The following is a 26515-nucleotide window of genomic DNA, read 5'->3' as shown; positions in this document are numbered from 1 at the left end:
GCTAATTTTTGTATTTTTATTAGAGATGGAGGTTTCACCATGTTGGTCAGGCTGGTCTCGAACTCCAGACCTCAGGTGATCTGCCAATCTCGACCTTTCAAAGTGCTGGGATTACAGGTGTAAGCCGCCACACCTGGGCTGCTATGTTAGATTTTAACTTATTTTAAACAACTTTTTTTTTTTTTTTTGGAGACAGAGTCTCACTCTGTCACCCAGGCTGGCGTCCAGTGCCGCGATCTTGGCTCACTGCAACCTCTGTCTCCCAGGTTCAAGCAATTCTCTTGCCTCAGACTTCCAAGTAGCTGGGATTAGAGGCGCCCACCACCATACCTGGCTAATTTTTGTATTTTCAGTAGAGACGGGGTTTCACCATGTTGGCCAAGCTGGTCTTGAACTCCTGGCCTCAAGTGATCCACCCCCCTAGGCCTCCCAAAGTGCTAGGAGTACAGGCGTGAGCCACTGCACCCCGCCTAACCAACTTTTTTTTTTTTTTTTTTTTGAGACGGAGTCTCGCTCTGCCGCCAGTCTGGAGTGCGGTAGCATGATCTGGGCTCACTGCAACCTCCGCCTCCTGGGTTCAAGCAATTCTCCTGCGTCAGCCTCCCAAGAAACTGGGACTACGGGCGCCTGCCACCATTCCTGGCTAATTTTTGTATTTTTAGTAGAGACGGGGTTTCACCATGTTGGCCAGGATGATCTCGATCTCTTGACCTCGTGATCCACCCTCCATGGCCTCCCAAAATGCTAGGATTACAGGCATGAGCCACTGCACCCGGCTCAACTATTTTTTAAAAAGCAGCTGATTGCTTTCTGAATTTAATAATCCACCCAAAATTATTGTCTATTTAAATACTTTCTTATACAATTAATGATCTGATAAACGGAGACTATCTCAAGCTTTCCTGTGCCTTCTGCTATAAGAGACCTGAAAGAACAGAGGAAACAGTGAAAACAAATACTGAAAGAAAATTTCATTAAGAGTTTCAAGATGAATTGGAAGTTAAAATGTGTATCACCAAAAGTGCTCAGATACATCCCCTATTGGGTTCAATAGCCACTATCTTTCTGATTTTTCAGCTTGTCAACAAAATAAAAACAAGTCAAACAGATTAGCATATGGATACTGCTAGGATAAATAACAATGTAAGTGTACCTGTATTTTTATCATAGGTCACTTACATAGGGTAGAGAGTTGGGAATAGTAAAATGAATATTTTGTGACTGATTCAACGTTTAACAATTGAAACCCTAAGTAGACACATATATGTAGGCTATTATGTATTTTATCAATCTTTTTTTTTTTTTTCAAAGAAGGCCTTGTTAGGTTTCTGCTTTACCAACTGTTGGAGAAAACTACACCATTTTAGAGATCCATTATAGAAACAAAAATTCACCTAATTGCAGAAGACAGATGAGCCAAGAGTCAGAGTCTGGCTCTGTCAACCAGGCTGGAGCGCAGTGGCATGATCTTGGCTCACTGCAACCTCCACCTCCAGGGTTCAAGTGAGTCTCCTGCCTCAGCCTCCCGAGTAGCTGGGACTACAGGCGCATCACCACACCCAGCTAATTTTTGTATTTTGGGTAGAGATTACCCAAAATACAAATGCCATGTTGCCCAGGCTGCTCTTGAACACCTGACCTCAAGTGATCCACCTGCCTCGGCCTCCCAAAGTGGTGCTTATATATTTCTATATGACTATTGATATGCCAAGAGTTGATTATATGATTATTGTCACAGTCGTCTGCTATGTCTTGAAGGGTCAAAACTACCTTTAGCCAACCATGACTTCAGGTACACTGATAAAAAGCATGTTCCTGGCCCTTAGAAAATAAGGAAAATGAGTGAAATATTTCACCATAGAAAAAAATTAGCAACAGTTCAAGAGGTGTTGCGACTCATTGCTAAACCATTAGTGCAAGATTCATTGCTAAAGGTTACTTTAAGGAAGTTAAGGAGTTTAGAAGAGAAAAACACTTAGGATTGGAGCGGGACGGGAGGCTTCCTGGAAGAAGCAGGCTTCTAGGAGAGCAGTTTTTGGATTTATGAACCATATCAAGGAGTGGTAAAAATACAAACTAGAATTCGATCTTCTAAGAAAGGGCTGGGTCTCATGGTGGGGACATTCACGCAGTCCCGACTCTGCCCTCGACATTCCATCCCTGGCCTGCCCAGTTCCCTGTCCCCGAGCATTCCTTGCAGACTTACACCGTCCTACTCTCATAGGCTCAGGAGGAATACAAAGCCTTTCCTTTGTTTACAGGATCCTTTCGGAGACAAGACTGGGGTATTTTTATTTATTACTATCTACAAATACTAATGAAAGCTGCAAACAGTCACAGAAGAGATAATCATAGCGCCATGAATCGACACACTGGGGCCTGCAAAGTGTAATCTCCTGTTCTTCTTCCTGAGAACCCCCCAAAAAATTGTTCTTGCCTGGGGCTTTACCAGCCTGCAGCCAGGCTGCCCCTGCCCGCATGGTCTCGCCCCACGTGACTGGCGCCATCTTCCTGCAGCTCCCGTGCTGGGCACAGGTAGTCCTCGGCCCGCTCCCCACTGATTGACAGGGAGTGGTTTTGTTCTCCCGCCCACACGGTGAGGTCAAAGGGCTCTCCACGCGGGAATATACAGCGGTAACTGATAGCTCTCACCGGGGGCGGGGATGGAGGTGGGGAAATGCGGCTGGAGAGCGGGGTGGGGAAGGGAAAAGAAGGGAAGACAGGAAGGAAGAAGACGGGGAGCATGGTGAGAGGGTGGGCCATGGGCCAGCAGTGTGGGAGGTGGGGGTGGAGGATGAGAATATCTTTGCACCTGGAGAGTACTATACTATTTGAATTAGGCGTGTCGGATAAGATACGTAAATATTGCATGAGACATATACTTTTAAAAAGTATCCCTTGTTTACCTGAAATTCAAATTATCTGGGTGTTCTGTATTTTTATTGCTAAATCTGGCAATCCTACTTTTAAGGGTCCTTGGATACACTATTTCCCCCAAGGATTCACAGAAATAGAAAAAAGGCCTGATGCGATGGCTCACGCCTGTAATCCCAGCACTTTGGGAGGCCAAGGCGGGCAGATCACTTGAGGTCAGGAGTTCGAGACCAGCCTGGCCAACATGGTGAAACCCCGTCTCTACTAAACCTACAAAAATTATCCAGGCGTGGTGGCGCCCGCCTGTAGCCCCAGCTACTCGGGAGGCTGAGGCAGGAGAATCGCTTGAATGGGAAGGCAGAAGCTCCAGTGAGCCAAGATCACGCTACTGCACTCCAGCTCTGGGCCACAGAGCGAGACTCTGCCAAAAAAAAAAAAAAAAGAAAAGAAAAGCCCGGGCAACTCAGCATGCAAGAACCGTCTCTACCAAAAAAAAAAAAAAAAAAAAAAAAATGCTGGGCGTGGGCGTGGGCATGGTGGTACATGACTATAGTCCAGAGGCGAGAGGATCGCTTGAGCCCTGGAAGTCCAGGCTGCAGTGAGCTACGATTGAGCTACTGCACTCCAGCGTGGGTGACAGAGTGAGACCCTGTCTCTAAAATAAACAAACAACAATTGAAAAGCAGTAGAAAAAAAGATCCTTTATACCAGTAGTCTACAAGCCGCAGGCACTTCCGCCAAATCCACCTACCTTCTGTGTTTGTATGGGCTGCAGCAAAAAAATGAGTTTTACTTTTTTTTTTTTTTTTGAGGCACGGTCTTGCTTATTGCCCAGGCTGGAATGCAGTGGTGTGATCATGGCTAACAGCAGCCTCGGCCTCCCAGTCTCAAACAATCCTCCCACCTCAGCCTCCTGTACTGGTACTAGAGGAGCATCCCACCACACTTGGCAAAATTTTTTTTTTTTTTTTTGGTAGAGACGGTGTCTAGCTATGTTGCCCAGGCTGGCATAGAACTCCTGGGATCAAATGATCCTCCTGCATTGGCCTCACAGTGCTGGAATCACAAGGTGTGATCTATTGTGTCCCGCTGAGTTTTACTTTTTTTTGTTTGAGACAGGGTCTCACTCTGTCGCCCAGGCTGGAGTGCAGTGGCACAATCATGGCTCACTGCAGCCCCTGCCTCCTGGGTTCAAGCGATTCTCCCACCTCAGCCTCCTCAGACTACAGGCTCGCGCCACCACACCTAGCTAATTTTTGTGTTTTTTGGTAGAGAAGGGGCTTCACCGTGTTGGCCAGGCTGGCCTCGAGTTTTACATTTTAAATGGGTGAATGAAAGTCAAAAGTAAACTATTTTGTGACACATGAAAATAGTATGAAATTCAAATTTCAGGGTCCATTTATGAAATGTTATTGAAACGCAGCCACACTCATCCCATTCCTGTACTGTTGAGCTACTTTGAAGATACATGGGCAGTCAGTGTTCAATAGTTGCAACAGGGACCAGATGACCCACAAATCCTAAAGTATTACCAGGTCCTTTATGAAACAGTGCCTGACTCCTGCTGTAAACTTTCCTTTTTCTTTTTTTTAGACCCCCAGTATGATTTTTTAAATGAAGATAAGTCAAAAGGGTCTAACACTTGGAGGTATGTCCAAAGTCTTATAAATGGCAGGCATAGTCTAAAATGGTCATCCTGTCCTTGCCCCTCAGACAGTCCGCCTTTCCCAGGCCCCTGCTGGCTTAGCCGATGAACAGGGCGTAGACCCTGCCATTGCAGATCTCATGATTACCAGGAAAGGTGGCCATGTAAGTTAAATAGGACAATGGCACTTTGAGGAGGGAGCAGCTAATTTCACCTGGGAAAGTTGGGGGGGAGTTATGCAGAGAGTCCAGCCTTACCAGGCAGACAGGGAAGACAAGAAACCTAGTCAGCCAAGCAGGCAGGTGCATGATGTATTCCAGAAATGGAGACATGTTATGTTTGGCTGAACTTGATGGAAAGGGGTGGTAGGTGGGGGAAGGAATGACTAAAGATAATAGCGATCATTAACAAAATCCACATATTGCTTTCTATATGCCTAACACTGTTATAAGTGCTTTGTGTATTCATTTTTATTTTTATTTTATTTTTTTGAGATAGAGTCTTGCTCTGTTGCTCAGGCAGGAATGCAGTGGTGCCATCACAACTCACTGCAGCCTCAACCTCCCAGGCTCAAGTGATCCTCCCACCTCAGCCTCCTGAGTAGCTGGGTCTATAGGTATGTGCCACCATGCCTGACTAATTTTTTTTTTTTCTGTAGAGATGGGGTCTCCCTATGTTGCCCAGGCTGGTCTTGAACTCTGATTCAAATGATTCTCCTGCCCTTGCCTCCCAAAGTGCTGGGATTAGGGGCATGAGCCACTGTACCAGGCCTGTATATTAATTTATTTACTTATGTGGCCTATATATTAATTTATTTAGTTATCACAACAGCCATTGACAGAAGTCATGTCATTATCCCCACTTTAGACTTGTGGAATCTGGGGTGTACAGAGGCTGACTGATTTGCCCAATCTGAAAAAAGGGGAAGAGCAGTCGGACCCAGGTTCACTTGTTTTGTTTTGTTTTTAAGAAACTGTCTTGTTCTGTTGTCCAAGCTTGAGTGCAGTGGTGTGCATGTGCCACCATGCATGGCTAATTTTCTTTCAATTTTCTATTTTTTGTAGAGACAAGGTATTGCTAGATTGCCCAGGCTGGTCTAGAACTCCTGGCCTCAAGCAATCCTCCCACCTCTGGCCTCCCAAATGTGAACCTAGGACAGATTCACACTTTTAACCACATCCTAGGAAGGTCCCATTGCTTATCTCTTGTTCCTCAGATGGTGGCAGTGGGAACAAGTGGGTAGTGGGAAGGGAGAAGAGGGATATTTCTTAGGTCCTGGGATGATCTTAGACAATTGTGTGAACGGTGACAACAACTGAGTGTGGGTGATCTACACTGAGCACTCTTGAAGCCACAGCAAACGAAACAAAGGGGCAGGTAAGTAATTGTTAAGTGTGGTGCAGACCAGTTCTAAATGCTATAGAAAAATCAGGAGAGAAGTGCAAGATTTCTGTTCATAGAGGAGTTATTACTGGTGTCAAAGGAACTGTCTTTTGGATACAGGAAACAAGGGGCTGTAATTAGCTGGGTGTGGTGGTGCACACCTGTAGTCCCAGCTACAGGGAGGCTGAAGGAGGAAGATCACTTGAGCCCAGGAGTTTGAGGTTATAGTGAGCTATGATTGTGCCACTGCACTCCAGCCTGGGTGTCAGAGTGAGCCCCTCTCTCAAAACAAAACAACAAGATGTGTGACGCCTACGAAAGTCTTTCCCATCTTTTCTATTTGGCTTGGTTCCTATCTGTATCCCCAGCACCAAGACCAAAACCTGTTATCCCTAAGGGGCTCATTAAATTTATTTATTTATTATTATTATTTTTTTAGACAGCGTCTTGCTCTGTCACCTAGGCCAGAGCTCAGTGGCACAATCTCGGCTCACCGCAACCTCTGCCTCCTGGTTCAAGTGATTCTCCTGCCTCAGCCTCCTGAGTAGCTGGGATTACAGGCACGCACAACCATGCTCAGCTAATTTTTGTATTTTTAGTAGAGATGGGGTTTCACCCTGTTGGCCAGGCTGGTCTTGAACTCCTGACCTCAGATGATCTGTCTGCCTCGGCCTCCGTAAGTGTTGGGATTACAGGCGTGAGCCACTGCACCTGGCCGGTTTTACATTTTCTGAGATTTCTTGCAGAGTTACTGTGTGCATACACAAGTAAAAACATATATATGTGTGTTACTTTCCACTTCCTCTCCACATTTTTTATACACATGGTGGCATAGTATACATACTGTTCTGTATGTGGCTTTTGTTCACTGTGTATATCAAGATTATTCCCTATCAGTCCAGAAGGATCTTTTTCAACCTATTTGACCGCTGAATCCACTGCATGGATGTGCCACACTTTATCCAGTCCTTTACATTGGTCTTGTAGGTCTTGTTCTTCCTTGGCTCTTGGAAACAGTATTGCAATGAGGAATGTGAGGATGATGAATGAGGAGATTTTGGGCTAGGGAAGTATAATGATTTAAAATCATCACTCTTTTTGACTAACCAGAAGTCACCACCACTCATGGGTGTGAAACCACCCACTGTCAGAATCTGATAGCCCAAAAAGTGGACCAGTCTAATGAAAGGAAGACAGTGGGCTTTGGGGCCAGGCAAACTTGAATTCCCATCTTTGTTCTACTCCTTATGACTTGAATTCCCTTGGAAAACCTATCAAATTCCTTTTTAGTTTTTCTCATCTAAATAGGGGATGGTAGTGCTCCTAGACTATGAGGATTAAATTAAATAAGACAATGAATATTAATAGATTGCTTAGGTACATGGTACATAGAAGGGAATTTATTCCTGCCATCATCTCATTGTGCTGTTGTGTCGTAGCCCTCAGAATTCTCTTTCTCATTCTTCTCTTTCTCATTCTTCTCTTTCTTATTCTTCTCTTTCTTATTTTTCTCTTTCTTATTCTTCTCTCTGCCCCTTTATTCCACTTACCTTGACAAGAGCAATTGAATAATCTGGAGGGCTATGGCATGGATAAAACTTGAAGACATTACGCTAAGTGGAAAAAGCCAGTCACAAAAACCCACATATTATATGAGTCCACTAATACAAAATGTGCAGAAAAGGCAAATCTATAGATTGATGGTTTCGTAGGGTTAGGGGTTGAGGGGAAATGGGGAGTGACCACTAATGAGTACAGGGTTCCTTTTTGAGGTGGTGAGAGTGTTTGAAAATTGACATGGTTGCATAACACTCAGTATACTAAAACTCATTGAATTGTACATTTTGAATGGGTAAATTTTAAGACATGTGAATTAAAACTCAGTAAAGTGCTAGGCCAGGCACGGTGGGTCACGCCTGTAATCCCAGCACTTTGGGAGGCCGAGGCAGGCAGATCACGAGGTCAGGAGATCAAGACCATCCTGGCTAACAAGGTGAAACCCCGTCTCTACTAAAAATACAAAAAATTAGCCGGGCGTGGTGGCGGGCACCTGGAGTGCCAGCTACTCGGGAGGCTGAGGCCGGAGAATGGTGTGAACCCGGGAGGCAGAGCTTGCAGTGAGCCGAGATCGCACCACTGCACTCCAGCTTGGGCGACAGTGCAAGACTCCATCTAAAAAAACAAAAACAAACAAACAAACAAACAAAAACAACTCAGTAAAGTGCTTATAAAAAGTGCTCCAGGCCAGGTGCAGTGGTTCACACCTATAATCCCAGCACTTTGGGAGGCCGAGACAGGAGGATCTCTTGAACCTAGGAGTTCAAGACCAGTCTGTGCAACATAGGAAGACCCCATCTCTACAAAAAGTTTAAAAATTAGCTGGCCTGGTGTCACATGCCTGTAGTCCCAGGTACTTGGGGGCTGAGGTGGGAGGATTGCTTGAGCCCTGGAGGTCGAGGCTGCAGTGAGCTGTGATCATGCCACTGCACTCCAGCCTGGGCAACATAGCAAGGTCCTGTCTCAAAAAACAAAAACAAAAACAAACAAACAAACAAAAAACTCCGGCAGGAAGGTAGAGGAGAAAGAAAGGAGAGGATTGTGGAGCAGCACAGAGACAAGACTGCACACAAGGTACAGGTCTCAGACAGCACTGGGCATCAGAGGGCCTAAACTTTAGTCCTGGCTCTGCCTCCAGCTGACTTTGTGACCTTGGAAAAGCTCTTTCACTTCTCTGTACTTTGTTTGCCTCATTTAAAACTGAAATGAAATGATGACCTAGGGTCTCTTTCCTGACTAAAAGTCTACAATTTGCCCCCTGCCTCAGGCTGGGGGAGGAGAGGCAGGGGGAAGCCAGAGATAGGAGGAGAGCAGAGATCCTTGCAGGGCCTTTCCCTCCTCTCTGCCCTGCCTGCACCCTGCCCTCCCCTTGAACCCTAGGCCTTTGTTCAGCTTCCCCCAACCCTGGAAGTCATGCATGCAGGGGAGAGTATGAGAGGGTTGGGTCAGGTGCGGGTCATGAGGAGGCTGGGACAGGAGGCACACTGTCCAATACTATTCCATTTTCTAGTAGAGATTATAGACCTTGGGAGGGAAGCAACTTGGGAAAATAAGTGAAGAGCCAAGGCAAATGTTCCAGGCAGAGAGGTGTTTTTTCCATCTACTTATAATGTTAACTTTTCCATCATTAGGGTCAAGTTTTTTATTTATTTATTTATTTATTTTTCACTTTTTAAAAAAAATTTTGAGACAGGTATGCTCCACCACACCCAGCTAGTTTTTGTATTTTTAGTGGAGACAGGGTTTTGCCATGTTGCGTAAGCTGGTCTCAAACCCCTCAGCTCAAGAAGCCTACCTGCCTCAGCCTCCCAAAGTGTTGGGATTACAGGCATGAGCCACTGCACCCGACCAGTAGCATCCCTTAATATATGATAGTGAGCTGTACTCAATTAAGTATGTGTCTTTCAATTTTTTATCATGGTAAAATATACATAAAATGTTCCACTTTAACCTTTTTTAAAATGTACAGTTCAGTGGCATTAAATACATTCATGTGGTTGCACAACCACCACCACCATCCATCCGTTTTTAAATTTTTATAATGAAGTATAAGGCCAGGAGCAGTGGCTCACACCTGTAATCCCAGCACTTTGGGAGGCCGAGGCAGGCGAATCACCTGAGGTCAGGAGTTCAAGACCAGCCTGGCCAACATGGTGAAAGCCTGTCTCTACTAAAAATACAAAATTAGCTGGGTGAGGTAGCATACACCTGTAATCCCAGCTACTCAGGAGGCTGAGGCACGAGAATCACTTGAACCCAGTAGGTGGAGATTGTACCACTGTACGCCAGCCTGGGCGACAAAATGAGACTCCATCTCAAAAAAAAAGAAGTATAATACACATAAAGTGCAAGAATCTTAAGTGTTCTCCCCATCAGTTTTTACATTTGTATGTATCCATATAACTGCCACTGAGATTATGATACCGACTGTTTACAGCACACCGGAAGTCTTCCGCTTACTCCTTCTCATCAATTATGTTTTTTGTTTTTGCTAAATTTAAGTCTTTGCTCAAAGAAAAAACAAAAAACAAACGTGGTTCTTTTGCAAGCAACTTAAGTGGTTTTGCAAATTGCATAATTAGTATCTCAATATTTCATTCCTAAAGGTTCAAGTCACAGTGTACTCTGGCAGGAAGGCACTGTGCTAGCACAGCGAACACATTGCTCTGCAGAGAATCTGCTCTCCTCCAGTCGGATGGAATCCCTCTGTTGCACATCCCAGGGCCAGTTTCCAGATTAAAGAATTCTGAATGTGCTCTAAATTCTCACTGCAGATGGGACAATGGTAACAATCCTTTTGCTAAACAAAATGCAAAAGATACATTCTACCCCCTGCCAGGTAATTTACTGGGTAAGGCATCTACACTTATGCCCCATCAGGGACTTCAAAATATTTGCTGGTTCTGTAGCTGGATTAGAAATGACATTTTAGCCCACTTTATCATTCTGTAGCAGAAGCTGAAAGCTATAAAAGGTTAGCATTAGCCTGTGATTTATTTTTCTTTTCAGTATTTAAATTTGGGCTGGTTGTGGGTGAAGGAGGAAGCATAGGAGTTAAAAGTATAATTCATCAGGCTAAGAAAGAAACCAACAGGAAACCGGGGAAAATAGATAGTAAAGGACACTTCAAGAAGGGAAAATTGGAAAAGGATCATATAAATCCCAGAGAGGGAGAGGTCACACAGCTCTATTCAGGAAATCCAGAAGCAGGCAAAAACAAACACTACCCCACCACTGTCCCCGATCTTCACCTCTACCTTTTCTACCTGCAAATTGGCTCTTGGCATTTGTTACCTTTTCTTGAAGCCCTGCGAAAGCCGGTGTGCTTTATTCACCACAAGTGAAAAAAGAGCCTAACACAAGTGCCTGGCACATGGCAAACAGTCAAGAACCAGGAAGCCATGGATAGAGGAACCAGCTAGAAAGGCCCCCTCCTAACTGGAGAAAAGGGCCAAGGCAAGGAGGATAGGAGGCAGGGAAGAAGGGTCGGTAGGGAGGCGGTCACCTGTTCAGAGTGAAACGTAATAGTGCTGGCACTTCCAAGCGTAGGTACCTAGAAAAGGGGAAATAAGCCTTAGGGTTTTTTTTTGTTTTTTTTTTTTGTAAGAGAAATAAACACTTGGAATGGGACAGAATTAGCCAGAGGTTATGAGGGAAAAGCCTTTTCATTAACTCTAGCAAAACAGAATCTATAAAAATTAAAGAAAAGGAAAGCAAGGAGTATATTTTTTTGTTTGATATATATATCTATCTATATCTATCTATCTATCTATATATATATATATATATTTTTTTTTTTTTTTTTTTTTGAGACGGAGTCTCGCTCTGTCGCCCACGCTAGAGTGCAGTGGCGCCATCTCGGCTCACTGCAACCCCCGCCTCCCGGGTTCAAGTAATTATCTGCCTCAGCCTCCCGAGTAGCTGGGATTACGGGCACCCGCCACCACACCTGGCTAATTTTTTGTAGAGACAGGGTTTCACCATCTTGGCCAGGCTGGTCTTGAAGTCCTGACCTCGTGATCCACCCGCCTCGGCCTCCCAAAGTGCTGGGATTACAGGCATCAGCCACCACGCTCAGCCTATTTATATATATATTTTTTGAGATGGAGTCTCGCTCTGTCGCCCAGGCTGGAGTACAATGGCGTGATCTTGGCTCACCGCAGCCTCTGCCTCCCAGGTTCAAGCAATTCTCCTGCCTCAGCCTCCCAAGCAGCTGGGACTACAGGCATGCGCCACGACACCCAGTTAATTTTTGTATTTTTAGTAGAGACAGGGTTTCACCATATTGGCCAGGCTGGTCTCAAACTCCTGACCTCGTGATCCACCTGCCTCAGCCTCCCAAAATGCTGGGATTGCAGGCGTGAGCCACCGCGCCTGGCCTTTTTTCTTTTTGAAGAGACAGGGTCTCGCTGTGTCGCAAGCTGGAGTGTAGTGGCACTATCGTAACTCACTGTAACCTCGATGTCCCCAGGGTCCAGGGATCCTCCCGCCTCAGTCTCCTGAGTAACTGGGACTACAGCTGCACACCACCATGCCTAGCTAATTTTTAAATTTTTGTGTAGAGATAGGGTCTCACTGTGTTGCCCAGGCTGGTCTCAAACTCCTGGCCTCAAGCAGTCCACCTACCTTCGCCCCCTACAGTGCTGAGATTATAGGTGTGAGCTACCATATACCCAGCCTAAAAATAACTTTTGTAAAGTATAATTATAAATCATAAAGTTCACCTGATTCAAGTGTAGAATTGGATGATTGTTAGTAAATGTACAAGTTGTGCAAACATCTCCGTAGTCACAGTCTTAGAACATTTCATCACTCCAGTGAGATTCCTCTTATCCATTTACAGTCATTGGCTATCCTTCCTACCAGCCCAAGGTAGCTACTAATCTACTTTCTCTCTCCAAGATTTGTCTTTCTTGGACATTTCATGAAAATGAAATGATACAATATAGAGATTTTGGAACTGGCCTTCTTTTACCTAATATAATGGTTTTGTGGTTCATCCATACTGATGTGGAATACCACATTTTGTGTATTTATTAACCAGTTGATGGACATTTGCATTGTTTCCATGTTTGTAGTGGATGAATGAAGCTGCTATAAGTCTTTGTAAAGGCCTATGTTTTCATTTCTCTTGGATAGATACCTAGGATTGGAATTGCTAGGTTATAGGGTAATTTTATATTTAACGTTTTAAGAAAGTGCTAAATTGTTTTCCAAAGTGGCTACACTGGCTGGGCATGTTGGATCACACCTGTAATCCTAGCACTTTGGGAGGCTGAGGTGGGCGGATCACCTGACGTCAACAGTTCGAGACCAGCCTGGCCAACATGGTGAAACCCCGTCTCTACTAAAAATACACAAATTAGCTAGGCATGGTGGCAGGTGCCTGTAATCTCAGCTACTCGGGAGGCTGAGGCAGGAGAATCACTTGAACCTAGGAGGCGGAGGTTGCAGTGAGCTGAGATGCCGCCATTGCACTCCAGCCTGGGTGACAAGAGCGAAATTCCGTCTAAAAACAAAAAAAACAAACAAAAAAAAACAAAAGTGGCTACACCATTTTACATTCCCACCAGCAATGTATGAGGGGTCTAGTTTTTCTCCATCCTCCACAACACTTATTATTGTCTGTATTTTTTATTATAGTGATCCTAGTGGGTATAAAGTATATCTCATTGTGCTTTTAATTTGCGTTTCCCTAAGGCTAATTAATGATGCTAAGCATCTTTTATGTGCTTATTAATTATTCCTATACCTTCTTTAGTAATCTATTCAAATTATTTGCTATCTTAATATGAGATCGTTTGTCTTCTTCTTACTGAGTGTTAAGAGTTCTTATTGTAGGCCAGAATGGCTCATGCCTGTGATCCCAGCACTTTGGGAGGCTGAGGCCAGAGGATTGCTTGAGCCCAGGAGTTTCAAGACCAGCCTGGGCAACATAGTGAGATCTCATCTCTACTAAAAATAAAAAATTAGCCAGGTGGTGGAACACACTTGTGGTCCCAGCTACTCAGGAAGCTGAGGCAGGAGGACTGCTTGAGCCCGGGAGGTCAAAGCTGCAGTCAGCCATGATCACACCACTGCACTCCAGCCTAGGTAACAGAGCGAGGCCCTCTCTCAAAAGAAAAAAAAAAAAGAAATGAGCCGGGCACAGTGGCTCACACCTGTAATCCCAGCCCTTTGGGAGGCCGAGGCAGGTAGATCACTTGAGGTCAGGAGTTTGAGACCAACCAGCCTGGCCAACATGGTGAAACCCCATCTCTACTAAAAATACAAAAAATTAGCTGGGCGTGGTGGTATGTGTCTGTAATCGCAGTTACTAGGGAGGCTAAGGCAGGAGAATTGCTTGAACCCGGGAGGCGGAGGTTGCAGTCAGCTGAGATCATGCCACTGTACTCCAGCCTGGGCAACATAGTAAGACTCTATCTCAAAAAAAGAAGAATAGAAAATGAAAAGACAAGCCACAGACTGGGAGAAAATATTCACAAGTCATGTATCTGATAAAGGTCTTATGTCCATAACTCTCTCTGTCTCTTTTTTTTTTTTTTTTAGAGAGAGAGGGAGTCTCACTCTATCACCTTGGCTGGAGTGCAGTGGCATGATCATGGCTCACTGCTGCTTTGACCTTCTGGGCTCAAGTGATCCTCCTGCCTCAGCCTCCTGAGTAGCTGGGACTACAGGTGCGTGGCACCATGGCTGGCTAATTTTTACAAAAATTTTTATTGAGATAAGATTTTGCTCTGTTGTCCAGGCTGATCTTGAACTCTTGGGCTCAGGCAATCCTCCTGTCTTGGCCTCCCAAAGTGCTGAGATTATAGGCATGAGCCACTGTGCTGGGCCCCTTGGCCTCTTTTTATTTTCTTAATGGTTTCTTTGGAAGTATAAAAGTTTTGAATTTTGATCAAGTCTAATTTATCCATTATTTTCTATTATGTCTTGTGTTTTTGAATATTCTAGCTAAGAACTCTGCCTAACCCAAAGGAAGACCTGGTTTTGCTGAATATACAGTTGGAGAGGAAAGGATAAATTGATTGCTTTAGGAGCTGTTTCTTTTTTTTTTTGAGACAGGGTCTTTGTCACCCCGGCTGGAGTACAGTGCTGTGATTACAGCTCACTGCAGCCTCAAACTCCTTGGCTTAAGGAATCCTCCTGTCTTAGCGTCTTGAGTAGCTAGGACTATAGGTGCACAGCACCATGCCCAGTTAATTATTTTTATTTTTCTTAGAGTCTCACTGTGTTGCCCAGTCTGGTCTTAAATTTCTGGCCTCAAGTGATCCTCCCTTCTTGGCTTCCCAGAGCACTGGGATTATAGGCATGAGCCACCATGCCCAGCATGGCCCTAGGAGGTGACATTTCTATGTGTTGTTGGTTTAGAACTAGCTTTCTGAATGCTTTTTGAGGTAATATTTGAATGCACATCTCATGAAAAATAATTTAAATCTGGTAATCAGTTTATAATGAGAATAAGAATGGCTAATATTTATTAAACTGGCACTTGGCTGAACTCTTTAAATGAACAAATCTCACTTAATCATGATACCCAACCTCTGGAGTAAGCACTGTTATTATCATTGTGTTAAAGATGGGGCAACTGAGGACTGAGAGGATAAGTAAAGGGATGAAGTAAGGGTTGTAACCCAGGCAGTCTGAAATGATAGTGCAAGTATGCTCAATCATGATGATATACTCACTCCATGGTGGGTAATACTTACATTTCTGGCTCCAGAATTCTGTGAGCCTCATCTGAATGCACGAGTATAAGCCTCCTGATTCTCAGCTACTTGCTGGGAGCTAGCTGTGGGATCAACAAGTCTTAAGTGATTTTTGGGTCTTGCCTGTATAAAAGTTTTTTCTTTTTCTTTCTTTTTTTTTCTGAGGCAGAGTGTTGCTCTGTCACCCAGGCTGGTGTGAGTGGCACAATCTCGTCTCACTGCAACCTCCGCCTCCCTGGTTCAAGCGATTCTCTTGTCTCAGCCTCCCAAGTAGCTAGGATTACAGGCACCCACCACCACACCTGGCTAATTTTTTCTGTTTTTAGTAGAGATGGGGTTTCGCCATGTTGGCCAGGCTAGTCTCGAACTCCTGACCTCGGTTGATCTATCCGCCTTGACCTCCCAAAGTGCTGGGATTATAGGCGTGAGCCACCGCGCCCTGCCAAAAGTTTTTTTCGTAGCTCTCTAGGGTACCTACAATTTCTACCTTTGATAGTTATATGTTTTGGGATGAAGCGTTAGTAGTGCAAAATCCTTGGTGAAAAATTCATCTTAACATAACGTTCCTTTTCTTTCTTTCTTTCTTTCTTTTTTTTTTTTTTTTGAGATAGAATCTCACTCTGTCGCCCAGGCTGGAGTGCAGTGGCACAATCTCAGCTCACTGCAACCTTCGCCTCCTGGGTTCAAGCGATTCTTGTGGCTTAGCCTCAGGCTCCCTTGTTTCTGGGATTGCAGGCATGTGCCACCATGCCCAGCTAATTTTTGTATTTTTAGTAGAGATGGGGTTTTACCATGTTGACCAGGCTGGTGTTGAACTCCTGACCTCAAGTGATCCACTCGCCTTGGCTTCCCAAAGTGCTAAGATTACAGGTGTGAGCCACCACGCCAGGCCCATAACGTTTCATTGAATGTGAATCTAGGCCTACTCTTTCTGATTGATTCTGAATGATTATCCAACTCTAAGATGGTTGGAATCAAGTTTTCTTTTTGCATGCATTTTAAAATGTGGGCTTCTGGGCTCATGGTCTGTGAAGCTTTATTTGTGAGAAAGGAAATCTAGGTTGAGGGGATGGTCCTCCAGAAAAATTTTGCATTTGCTTCTGCCAGCTACTCCTGAGGGTGTTAACAGCCCATAACCACTTCTTGACATTAATATCTCAGCCCTCACAGGTAGTTCCAGCCCTAAAACTCTGTGAAGATAGGTTTGTGGTTACAAAGTCTCATGGAAGATGTCTTCCCCATATCTTGTCCCATGCATCCAAAGCCAAGGCCTAGGCAGACAAGGTCCCTCATCATCCTTCTTGGCCAATGGGTGTGATTTTCTAGTCCACTCTTTCATTCAGGATGTATCCCTTTGAAAGCCCCAGCTTTGTGTTGGTTATCAATTCGAACTCATTTTTAGGAGAAGCCAAAGGCCTTGTCTCCTGGCCCTGTGAGGCCCTTAAAACCCAAGTCCCTTCATCACTAAAACAGGTGCAACCCACACTAGGGTATCCAAAGTGTCCATTCTCTTACCTTCAGTTTTTTAGCTGCTTCTTTGTGTTTGACCTCTGGGGATTTCCTTCATTTCTTGTGAGATCAACCATGTATTTATAGGATATTTACGATATTTTATTCATAATGTATAGGTCTTTTGTTTTGGGGAGTGGTTCAAAGTATCTACCTTGCTGTTTTGTTGGAAATGGAAATCTGCCAAAAACCACATTTTTATGTCTTTACATTTTCTTCAATACCCAACATTGTATTGTATACAGATTGATTGCTTAATCCTAAATAATGATTGAATGAATATCCATGCTGTTCCCAAGGGATAACATATTATTCCATGAAAATATATTTGCTTATCATATTTTCATTTTGCACTGACGCCAGATTCCTTCCCTTAACCGATACGACACATCTAAGACAGGGGAGCTTTAGTGGAAAATAGGGAAGAAATGAAAGATAAGGACGAGATTCAAAAGTCAGGCCCAGGCAGGTCCTTGGTAGGTTAGGGAAAGGGACAAGATTGTCAGGCAGCAGGTCACTGTGATTTCATTAAAGGGAGGGGCTTCTGGGAACCCAGTCCCAACTTTTGCAAATTATTATATGGAGGGCAGTTTCTTGAGTATCACTTTTCCATTTATAAAGTCTCTGGAAGTTTGATAAGAAAATGTGGCAATGTGTGAACAGAGGTTAAGCTTGCTTTCCTCGATTTTCTTTCTTTCTTTTTTTTTTTTTTTTAAAAAAAAGGGTCCTTTTCGAAAAATTAGGAAGAGAAAAGAAACTCCATATTTTCTCTTCAAATGTGTGGGTGGTGAGATTTAGAAGGGGCAGACATGTTTACTAACTCTTAGTAAAAATATTTGTTGAACACCCACTGAGTGCCAAGCCGTGTGCTGGACACAGGGCTATAGCTGGGAACATGGAATGAGGGCCTGGCTCTGTGGTACTTCCATTCCATTTTACAGATAATCACAGAAAGAGATGTATACGTACAGATTATGAAGCGTGTTAGGAATGCAAGTCCATTAAAGAGCGTGGTGAAAGACTATAACCTGGGGTTGGTAGGGAAGGGAAATCAAGGAGCATCAAGAAAGGCTTCTCAGAGGAAGCAGCTCTATGCAGAGATCAGAAGGATGGGCCGGGTTAGTCAGGCCAATAGCATGCAGAAGAACAAACAGTGGAAGGAACAGCCTGTGTGCAGTTTCTCATTAGTCATAAACTTATGCAGAAAATACTGAAGCTTTTGATTCATTATAATATTACCTGCCATGCGGTGGCATGTGGCGGCTCACTGATTGTTTTCCTTGAGCTGGGCAGCCGGGCATCATCATCTCCACTTTCAGGATGAAGTTAGCAAGGCTCTGAGGTGCCTGGCTACCTGCCCAGGTCATATATTTTAAAGAGTCATAAGGCTGGGCGCAGTGCCTCATGCCTGTGATTCCAGCACTTTGAGAGGCTCAGTCGGGCAGATCACTTGAGGCCAGGAGTTGGAAACCAGCCTGGCCAACATGGTGAAATCCAGTCTCTAATAAAATACAAAAACTAGCCGGGTGTGGTGGTGTGCACCTGTAGTCCCAGCTACTTCTGCTTAGGAGACTGAGGCCGGAGAATTGCTTGAACCTGGGAAGTGGAGGTTGCAGTGAGCTGAGATCACTCCACTGCACTCCAGCCTCAGCAACAGTGCAAGACTCTGTCTAAGAAAGAAAAAAAAAAAAAAGAGTCATGGAGCTGGAGGTTGTGCTCTGGTTGTTTAAGTAGCTTGTGTTTAAAGGGAAACTTTGAAAGGCCCCCAGAAACAAGTGGTTTTCTTTTAGACAGCAGCCTGGCAGCTTATTGGATGCCCAACAGAAATGACTAGCAGTCTCTCGAAATAAATAAATGGCATTTTGAATAGGACAGAGGCTCAGGAGGAAGAGGTCCTAGCGGTAGATTTAACTGCAGGTCATCATCATAAATATAACTGGTTTCATCAGAGCTGTAATAAGGTTCTTGTGGGTGGAGTGTGCTGGTTTTGCTGTCAGAAATTGAGTAATGCAGTGTTAGTGCTACAGCTATTGACAACAAAACAAATTTCTATGGAAATTACTTTTAATATTGAGTTACTACAATTTAATGGCCACAATTTTTTTAAAGATTGGCTAAATCGAACACTAACTCCTCTCATCATTCATAAAATTAAAGGTGAAACAGCAAACAGAGTTGAAAAACCTACCTAGTCAATGAAAACACTGCGCCGTACCTTTCCCTTTATTTTTATGCGTGTATTTATTTATTTTTGAGAGACAGGGTCTTGCTCTGTTGACCAGGCTGGAGTGCAGTGCTGCAACTGTGGCTCACTGCAGCCTCGACTTCCTAGGCTCAAGTGATCCTCCCATCTAAGCCTCCTGAATAGCTGCAGCTACAAGTGCACACCACCATACCCAGCTAATTAAAAAAATTTTTTTGTAGAGGCGTGGTCTCACTACATGCCTAGGCTGATCTCAAACTCCTAGGCTCAAGGAATCCTCCTGCCTCAGCCTCCCAAAGTTCTGGGATTACAGGCGTGAGACACCTTTCCTTTTATTGCTAGAGATAGTTCTAATATGTTCTGCAAAAGGGCCTAAAGCAGTGTTTCTCACGTTTTTTGATATTATTAATTTTTACTCTGTCTTAGCTCAGGCTGCTGTAACAAAATGCCATAGATTGAATAGTTTAAACAATAGACATTTATTTTCTTACAATTTTGGAGACTGTAAATCCAATATGAGGGTCTAGCACAGTGAGATTCAGGTGAGAGACCTCTTCTGGGTTGCAGACCGGTGACTTCTTTATCCTCACCTGGTAGGAAGACAATGAGAGCTCTCTGGGGTCTCTTTTTTTTTTTTTTTTTTTTTTTGAGACGGAGTCTTGCTCTGTCGCCCAGGCTGGAGTGCAGTGGCGCGAACTCGACTCACTGCAACCTCCGCCTCCCAGGTTTAAGCGATTCTCCTGCCTCAGCCTCCAGAGTAGCTGGGATTACAGGCTTGCACCACCACGCCTGGCTACCTTTTGTATTTTTAGTAGAGACGGGGTTTCATCATGTTGGTCAGGCTGGTCTCGAACTCCTGACCTCGTGATCCGCCTGCCTCGGCCTCCCAAAGTGCTGGGATTACAGGCGTGAGCCACCATCCCCGGCCAGGATTAGGATTTCAATATATGGATTTTGAGGGAATACAAACATTCGGTCTATAACACACTTTCTAAGGAGAAAATTTATGGTAATTTAATAAATTTAGACTAATTAAAGTTAAACAAATTAAGTTCCATAATAGGAAATTATAACATATATATAATTTAATTTCTCCCTAGTGAGAGAAATATTAAAGAAGAAGAATTTGTCAGGTGGAATTTGACTTTGGAGGGCTACACACCATTGTAATATCTAGGATTTCTTGGCCCCCCAAGAACCAGTTTTAGCTTCTGAGAATTCATGGCCTAAAGGAGAAACAAAGAAAACACACACACACACACACCACACACCACACACATACCACACACACACCACACACACACCACACACACACCACACACACACCACACACACACACCACACACCACACACACACCACACACACCACACACCACACACACACACACACACCACACATACACCACACACCGCACACACCACACACACACACACCACACACCGCACACACCACACACACACACCACACACACCACACACACACACCACACACACACACCACACACACCACACACACCAGACACACACACACCACACACCACACACACACACCACACACACCACACACACACACCACACACACACACCACACACACCACACACACACACCACACACACCACACACACCACACACACACACCACACACACACACACACACACACACACACACACGTTGCAGAGCAGCATTATCTTATAACCTGTAAAGGATTGTACTAAATGGGAACTAAATGGTCATTGTGATGGTTATTTTGTTTGTTTGTTTGTTTTTGAGACGGAATCTCTCTGTCACCAGGCTGGAGTGCAGTGGCACAATCTCAGCTCACTGCAACCTCTGCTCCCCGGTTCAAGCGATTCTTCTGTCTCAGACTCCCTAGTAGCTGGGACGACAGGCACAAGCCACCACGCCCACGCCCAGCTAATTTTTTTGTATTTTTAGTAGAGACAGGGTTTCACCATGTTGGCTTGGATGGTCACTGCAGTAAGCATTTTGCCTGCATTATTTGTTTAATCCTCAGAACAACCCTATGAAGCATATACTACTGTTGTTCACCTTTTATAAATTAAGAGAGGCTCTGAGAAGTTAACAGCTGTCAACTTTTAAGTAGCAGAGCTGTGAATCGTACTCATCTCTGTTCCCCACACAGCTCCCAGGCTGCAGCCACTGCAGAGGATAGCATCCTCTGGAAGTGTTCTTAGTATCTATGCGAATTTTGTCCTTGGGGCCATCTCACCTCTCATTCCCCTTCTCTTCCACTCCTGGCCTGCTCCCTTGTTCCTATTACCCAGTATAAAACTTATTCCTCCTGAATCAGGGTTGGAAAGCAATCTGATAAATAGTTATTATTGGCTTGGGATTCCTAGCATTTGCCTTTCAGCAAAGGATATCTGTAACTCCCAAAAACTGAGTGGTGGGATTTGAGCAGGGGGGAGGAATTTCAGCAGGTGGGTAAAGTATTTGGAGGCTATGTGAGTTAGGCTACTGACAGGAGGAGGGTGGTACCCTTAGGTGGGGAATGGAGGAGAATTTAATAAAGAGATAATTTACAGAAGTTTGAGGAAGGTTAAGGGAAACCAACATGGGATAGCAACAGGCCTCCCTGGGGATGGCAACAAAGGGAGCCACCACCATCCGACACCTGAAGGGACAAGGAATAGTCCTAGGAACCCAAGAAAGGGGCTGAAGCTTTGGAGAATGCCATCTGGCAGAGGCCTTGGCTTCAGCAGAGACCTGCAGCCAACCTCTGGTCACCCAGCAGGGAGAAAACCAGGGAAAGAAAGACTCCTTCCTTGCCCTTGTCCTACCCTCCTACTTTTAAGGGTACCTTTTATGACCACACGCAAACTAAAGCTAGAGGACAAGGGGCCTGTTGATGCAGTCCATAGAGGCCAGATTTTGGGACACAGAGCAGAGTGGAGAAGAGGGCACAGGGGACCTGGAGGGCAGCGCTACAGCCTAGGATGGTGGCCGTCTGTGACAGGTGAACACAGGGCCAGTTTCATAAATGAAACACAGAGGATACCTCAGTTTTCATCAAGTGGCTGGGAGCATAGCAACGAAGGACACAGGGAGCTGGACTGCCTGGCCTGAAGACTGCCCTGCCATTTCTACCTTGGTGACTTTGGTGAAGTTCCTTAACCCTTCTGTGCCTTGGTTTCCTTATCTGTGAAACAGGCATGATAATCTCTACTCATAGGATTGTGAGGATAGAATTAATTGTAGCACTTGAACAAGGTCTGACTGAATTAACACCATCCTTATGACACTCCAGGTACAAAGCAGGTAGGAAGAAGCAATGTGCCCTTAGGTACTTACACGCTAAGCGGGAGACAGACACACCAGCCCTCACGACACAAGGTTAGGTGAGCTGGCAACTGAGGAGAAAGACTTGGCCGAAGGAGGGGTTGATCCTGCACCTCAGTGGGTCAGGTAGGGTTTTGCAGAGGAGGAGCCTTGAGCAAGGACTTGCAGAATGAGTTGATTTGCAGATGTGCCCAGTACACATCAATTAACAGTTCTGGAACTTTAAGGAAGGAAGGAAGTCCAGTTGGGTATTAAAAAGACTGGTAGATTTGTGGATTGTCAGAGGACAAGAAAGAACCCTGGAAATTAGGGCACAACTAAGCAGTGCAACAAGAATCCAGTAGGTGGCATAAATACCCCATTCATTTGGAGTTCCATTTGTCGTTTTTTTGTTTTGGTTTTTGGGTTTTTTTTTGTTTTGGATTTGGTGAATTTCTTTTTTTCTTCTTCCCTTCCTTAAGCTGCCCATTTCACCAACACTGTTGTTAGCAGTTTTATATGATCTTTATTTAATGCAATTAGATTTGCCTTTAGATCAAAGCAAACTATTTACAATTGATATAATAACTAAGCACCTCTCCAGAAAGAAGGTTGACTGCTTTGCAAGTATGAGCCCATTGTCTTAGTCCATGTGTGCTGCTGTAACGAAATATCACAGACTGGGTAATTTACAGCCATGAGCCACTATGCCCGAGGTGCTAAGGCCACCTCTTCACCTCTTTTTTTTTTTTTTTTTGTGATGGAGTTTCACTCTTGTTCCTCAAGCCAGAGTGCAATGGGGCAATCTCGGCTCACTGCAACCTCTGCCTCCCAGGTTCAAGTGATTCTCCAGCCTCAGCCTCCCGAGTAGCTGGGATTACAGGCATGTGCCACCATGCCTGGCTAATTTTTTTGTATGTTTAGTAGAAATGGGGTTTCACCATGTTAGCCAGGCTGGTCTCGAACTCCTGTCCTCAGATAATCCGCCGGCCTTGGCCTCCCAAAGTGCTGGGATTACAAGTGTGAGCCACCGTGCCCGGCCTAAGGCCACCTCTTAATACATCATATTGGTGATTAAGTTTGAACACATGAATTTTGCAGGACATTCAGACCATAGTACCATATTTAAAGAAAGACTGATTCACGTTGAGGTGAACCATCTAAACCCAATTTTCGTTATATTGTTTTCTAGAAAGTAGATTAAAAATTAAAATACTCCCAAGCTTGTCATGGTGGCTTACACTTGTAATCCCAGCTACTTGGGAGGCTGAGGTAGGAGAACAGATTGAGCCCAGGAGGCGGATGTTGCAGCGAGCCAAGATCACCCCACTGCACTCCAGCCTAGGCAACAGAGTGAGATGCTGTCAAAAAAAAAAAAAAAAGAAAAAGGAAGGGAGGGAGGGAAATAATATTATAGAAAGCATATAAAAATATTAAGAAAGAGAAAAAAACAATCTTAACTCAGGTATCTTTGTAGAAAATGCTAGCGATTTGAGGTATTGCCTTCCTTTTTCTTTTTTTAAGAAAATTAAATCACTTATTGATTACACATGATAATAGATGATACAAGCTTCATTCCAATCTATAATTTTATCTGGTAGCATTATTCAATTTAGATACATTGCATAGGATGTGCTAACAACCATTTTTATAACCACATGATTTTGCTTGATCCCTTTTAATGGTGAACTTCAGGTCACAACAGTAACTATCAGATCCACTACACCAAGATTTCTGAAGACAATGGCATCTCCACCCAAGCGCGTTGTAAATAAATTCCGAATAGAACCTGTCATCACCCTGAAGGAATTCTAACTTCACACTGTTGGGGAAATTTACCAAGATGGCTTCAGAATAGACTAACTTTACACAGCACATTTTTCAAAAAGACATTTATTCAGCATCATCATCAGAGTATTACATTTAGCAATCAACAGCATGGGTGCAAAAAAAAAAAAAAACTACATTAAAACCCTTTGTTGGAATGCTCTTCACTTTCCACAGAGCAGAAACTAAAATTACCTGTTATACAGTTAGTCACAAATACAGTCCTTGAGTGTTTTGCCCATACACATGAGCATTTGTCTAAAACATGTCTTATTTGGAGCAGCTATTGCCTTTCTTTTCCTTTGCATATTTTCTTTTTCTTTTCTTCTTTTTTTTTTTTTTGTTTGTTTTGAGATTTTGTCTCGATTTGTTGCCCAGGCTGGAGTGCAGTGGCGTGATCTTGGCTCACTGCAACCTCTGCCTCCCAGGTTCAAGCAATTCTCCTGCCTCAGCCTCCCGAGTAGCTGGGATTACAGGTGCCTGCCACCATGCCCGGCTAATTTTTTGTGTTTTAGTAGAGACAGGGTTTCACCATGTTGGCAGGCTGGTCTCCAACTCCTGACCTCAAGTGATCCACTTGCCTCGGCCTCCCAAAGTGCTGGGATTACAGGCGTAAGCCACCGCACCCGGCCACATATTTTCATTTATTCATGGAACAGATAGTAACTGACCAAATGTTATTCTGGGATATGGGGATCTAATAGCAAACAATTGGCAAAGCTCCTGTTGTCATAAAGTAAACAAGAAAATGAATGAATAAGCTGAAATAAGGATAATTTCACATTCACCGGAGAAGAAAATTGAACAAGGTGATAAGGAGGCTTGTGTTCTCTTCTTTAGATCGGGCTTTCAGGGAAAGCCTCATGAGGGCATGATGTTGAGCCACACTTGACTTGAATTGCTAGGAAGGATGTAGCATGTGAAGAGAGGGAGAAGGGCATTCCAGGCAGAGGGAAGAGCTGTGCAGAGATCCCAGGGTGCAAACAAGCTGGGTGTGTATGAGGCACCAAAAGAGGTCCTGAGTAGCTGGAGCACAGCAAGAGACCAGGAGAGAGGGAGGAGATGTGGTCAGAGAGCTGGACAGAGGGCTGAATCATGCAGGCCTGGACAAAGGTGTGGGACTTTATTATAACTGTTAATCATTGTATATGAGTTTGTAAGAACACATTTATCCTTCTGCCTTTTTCTCTTTGACATTATTAATACACTTTCTCCATGTCATTACATAGAGCTCAAAGCCATCATTTAAAATCAATACATACAATTCCATCAAGTGGATAATAATTTACTTAACCATTTTCCCCGTGAAAAGCATGTCCTCTTAACAAATATCCCTGAGTGGCAATATGTAGGCCAGGCACAGTGGCTCACGCCTGTAATTCCAGCACTTTGGGAGGCTGAGGCAGGCAGATCATCTGAGGTCAGGAGTTCAAGACCAGCCTGGCCAACCTGGTGAAACCCCATCTCTACTAAAAATACAAAAAAAATAGCCAGGCGTGGTGGCGGTTGCCTGTAGTCCCAGCTACTCAGGAGGTTGAGGCATAAGAATCTCTTGAACCTGGGAGGTGGAGATTGCAGTGAGCCGAGATCACACCACTGCACTTCCAGCCTTGGTGACAGAGCGAGGCTCCGTCTCAAAAAAGCAAAAACAAAAATCAAAAACAACAACAACAAAGCAAAATAAGGAAATAGTTTGGACACAGACATGCGCACAGGGAGAACACATGAAGATGAAAGCAAAGATGAGGGTGATGCTTCTGCAAGCCAAGGAACAGCAAAGAGTGCCAGCAGACATCAGAACCCAGGAGAGTGGCCCGGAATAGATCCTTTCCTTACATCTCACAAGGAACCAACCCTGCTGACACCTTCATCTTGGACTTCTAGCCTCTGGAACTGTGAGACAGCAAGTTTCTGTTGTGTAAGCCACCCAGTTTGTACGAAACCCTAGCAAGCTAATATAATATCTGTGCCTGCTAGATAGCTAATGAATTAGAGAGTCCAAAAATATGTGACTGTGTCTTGGAAAATATAGAAGAAATAAAGCCCATCAATAGGTGATATTCATCTGAAGCCAATTTGTGGCTGTGGGCTTGAGTGCCACAAATTGCCAAACTACAAATTACAAAGATTTCACAAAATTCAAATTAAAGCCCATGTGGTTTCTGGAGACTCTGAATGGTCTGGCTTTGCCCAACTATGGTGTGTTATCGACAAATTATGCTACCCCATATTAATGCTGTTGGAGGGAGGAGCTAGGAACTGAATGTAAGCATCTTGATAAATTCTTTGTATTTTGCGCAGGTTTTCATGTTTTTCTTTGATTTCTAGGTGGTATAATACATGGCAGTTATTTTACATTTTGTTCCTTTTCTTTTTTGAGAGCTATACCTTTGTATAGGGGAAAAGTCACGTTCCTGTTCAATTTTAAATTCTTCTCTTCTAAGTTGTGATTTCCTTTAGCTGTCTCCAGCCCATCAGGTCTAATATTCATGCATAACAGTGTGCAGTGATGTTATGGAGGAAGATG

The 26515-nt window shown here is 44.1% G+C and overlaps 1 long non-coding RNA gene across 3 annotated transcripts; it reads left to right on the top strand.

The window, feature by feature from the left end:
• Positions 1-2519: 2519 nt before the first annotated feature.
• On the top strand, positions 2520-24040 carry LOC105375949 (uncharacterized). 3 transcript variants are annotated; one of them, XR_929411.1, is made up of 2 exons: positions 2520-2596; positions 23857-24040. It is a non-coding gene; the product is annotated as an uncharacterized LOC105375949 (long non-coding RNA). The 3 variants fall into 3 exon arrangements; XR_929412.1 differs by lacking the exon at positions 2520-2596 and adding an exon at positions 2714-2746; XR_001746561.1 differs by lacking the exon at positions 2520-2596 and adding an exon at positions 10087-10298.
• The last annotated feature ends 2475 nt before the right edge of the window (positions 24041-26515 follow it).

Source organism: Homo sapiens, chromosome 9 (genome assembly GCF_000001405.40).
Source record: "Homo sapiens chromosome 9, GRCh38.p14 Primary Assembly".
NCBI classification, from domain to species: domain Eukaryota; kingdom Metazoa; phylum Chordata; class Mammalia; order Primates; family Hominidae; genus Homo; species Homo sapiens.
The sequence above is the reverse complement of the archived record's forward strand: the minus strand, read 5'-3'. Positions and strand labels throughout refer to the sequence as shown.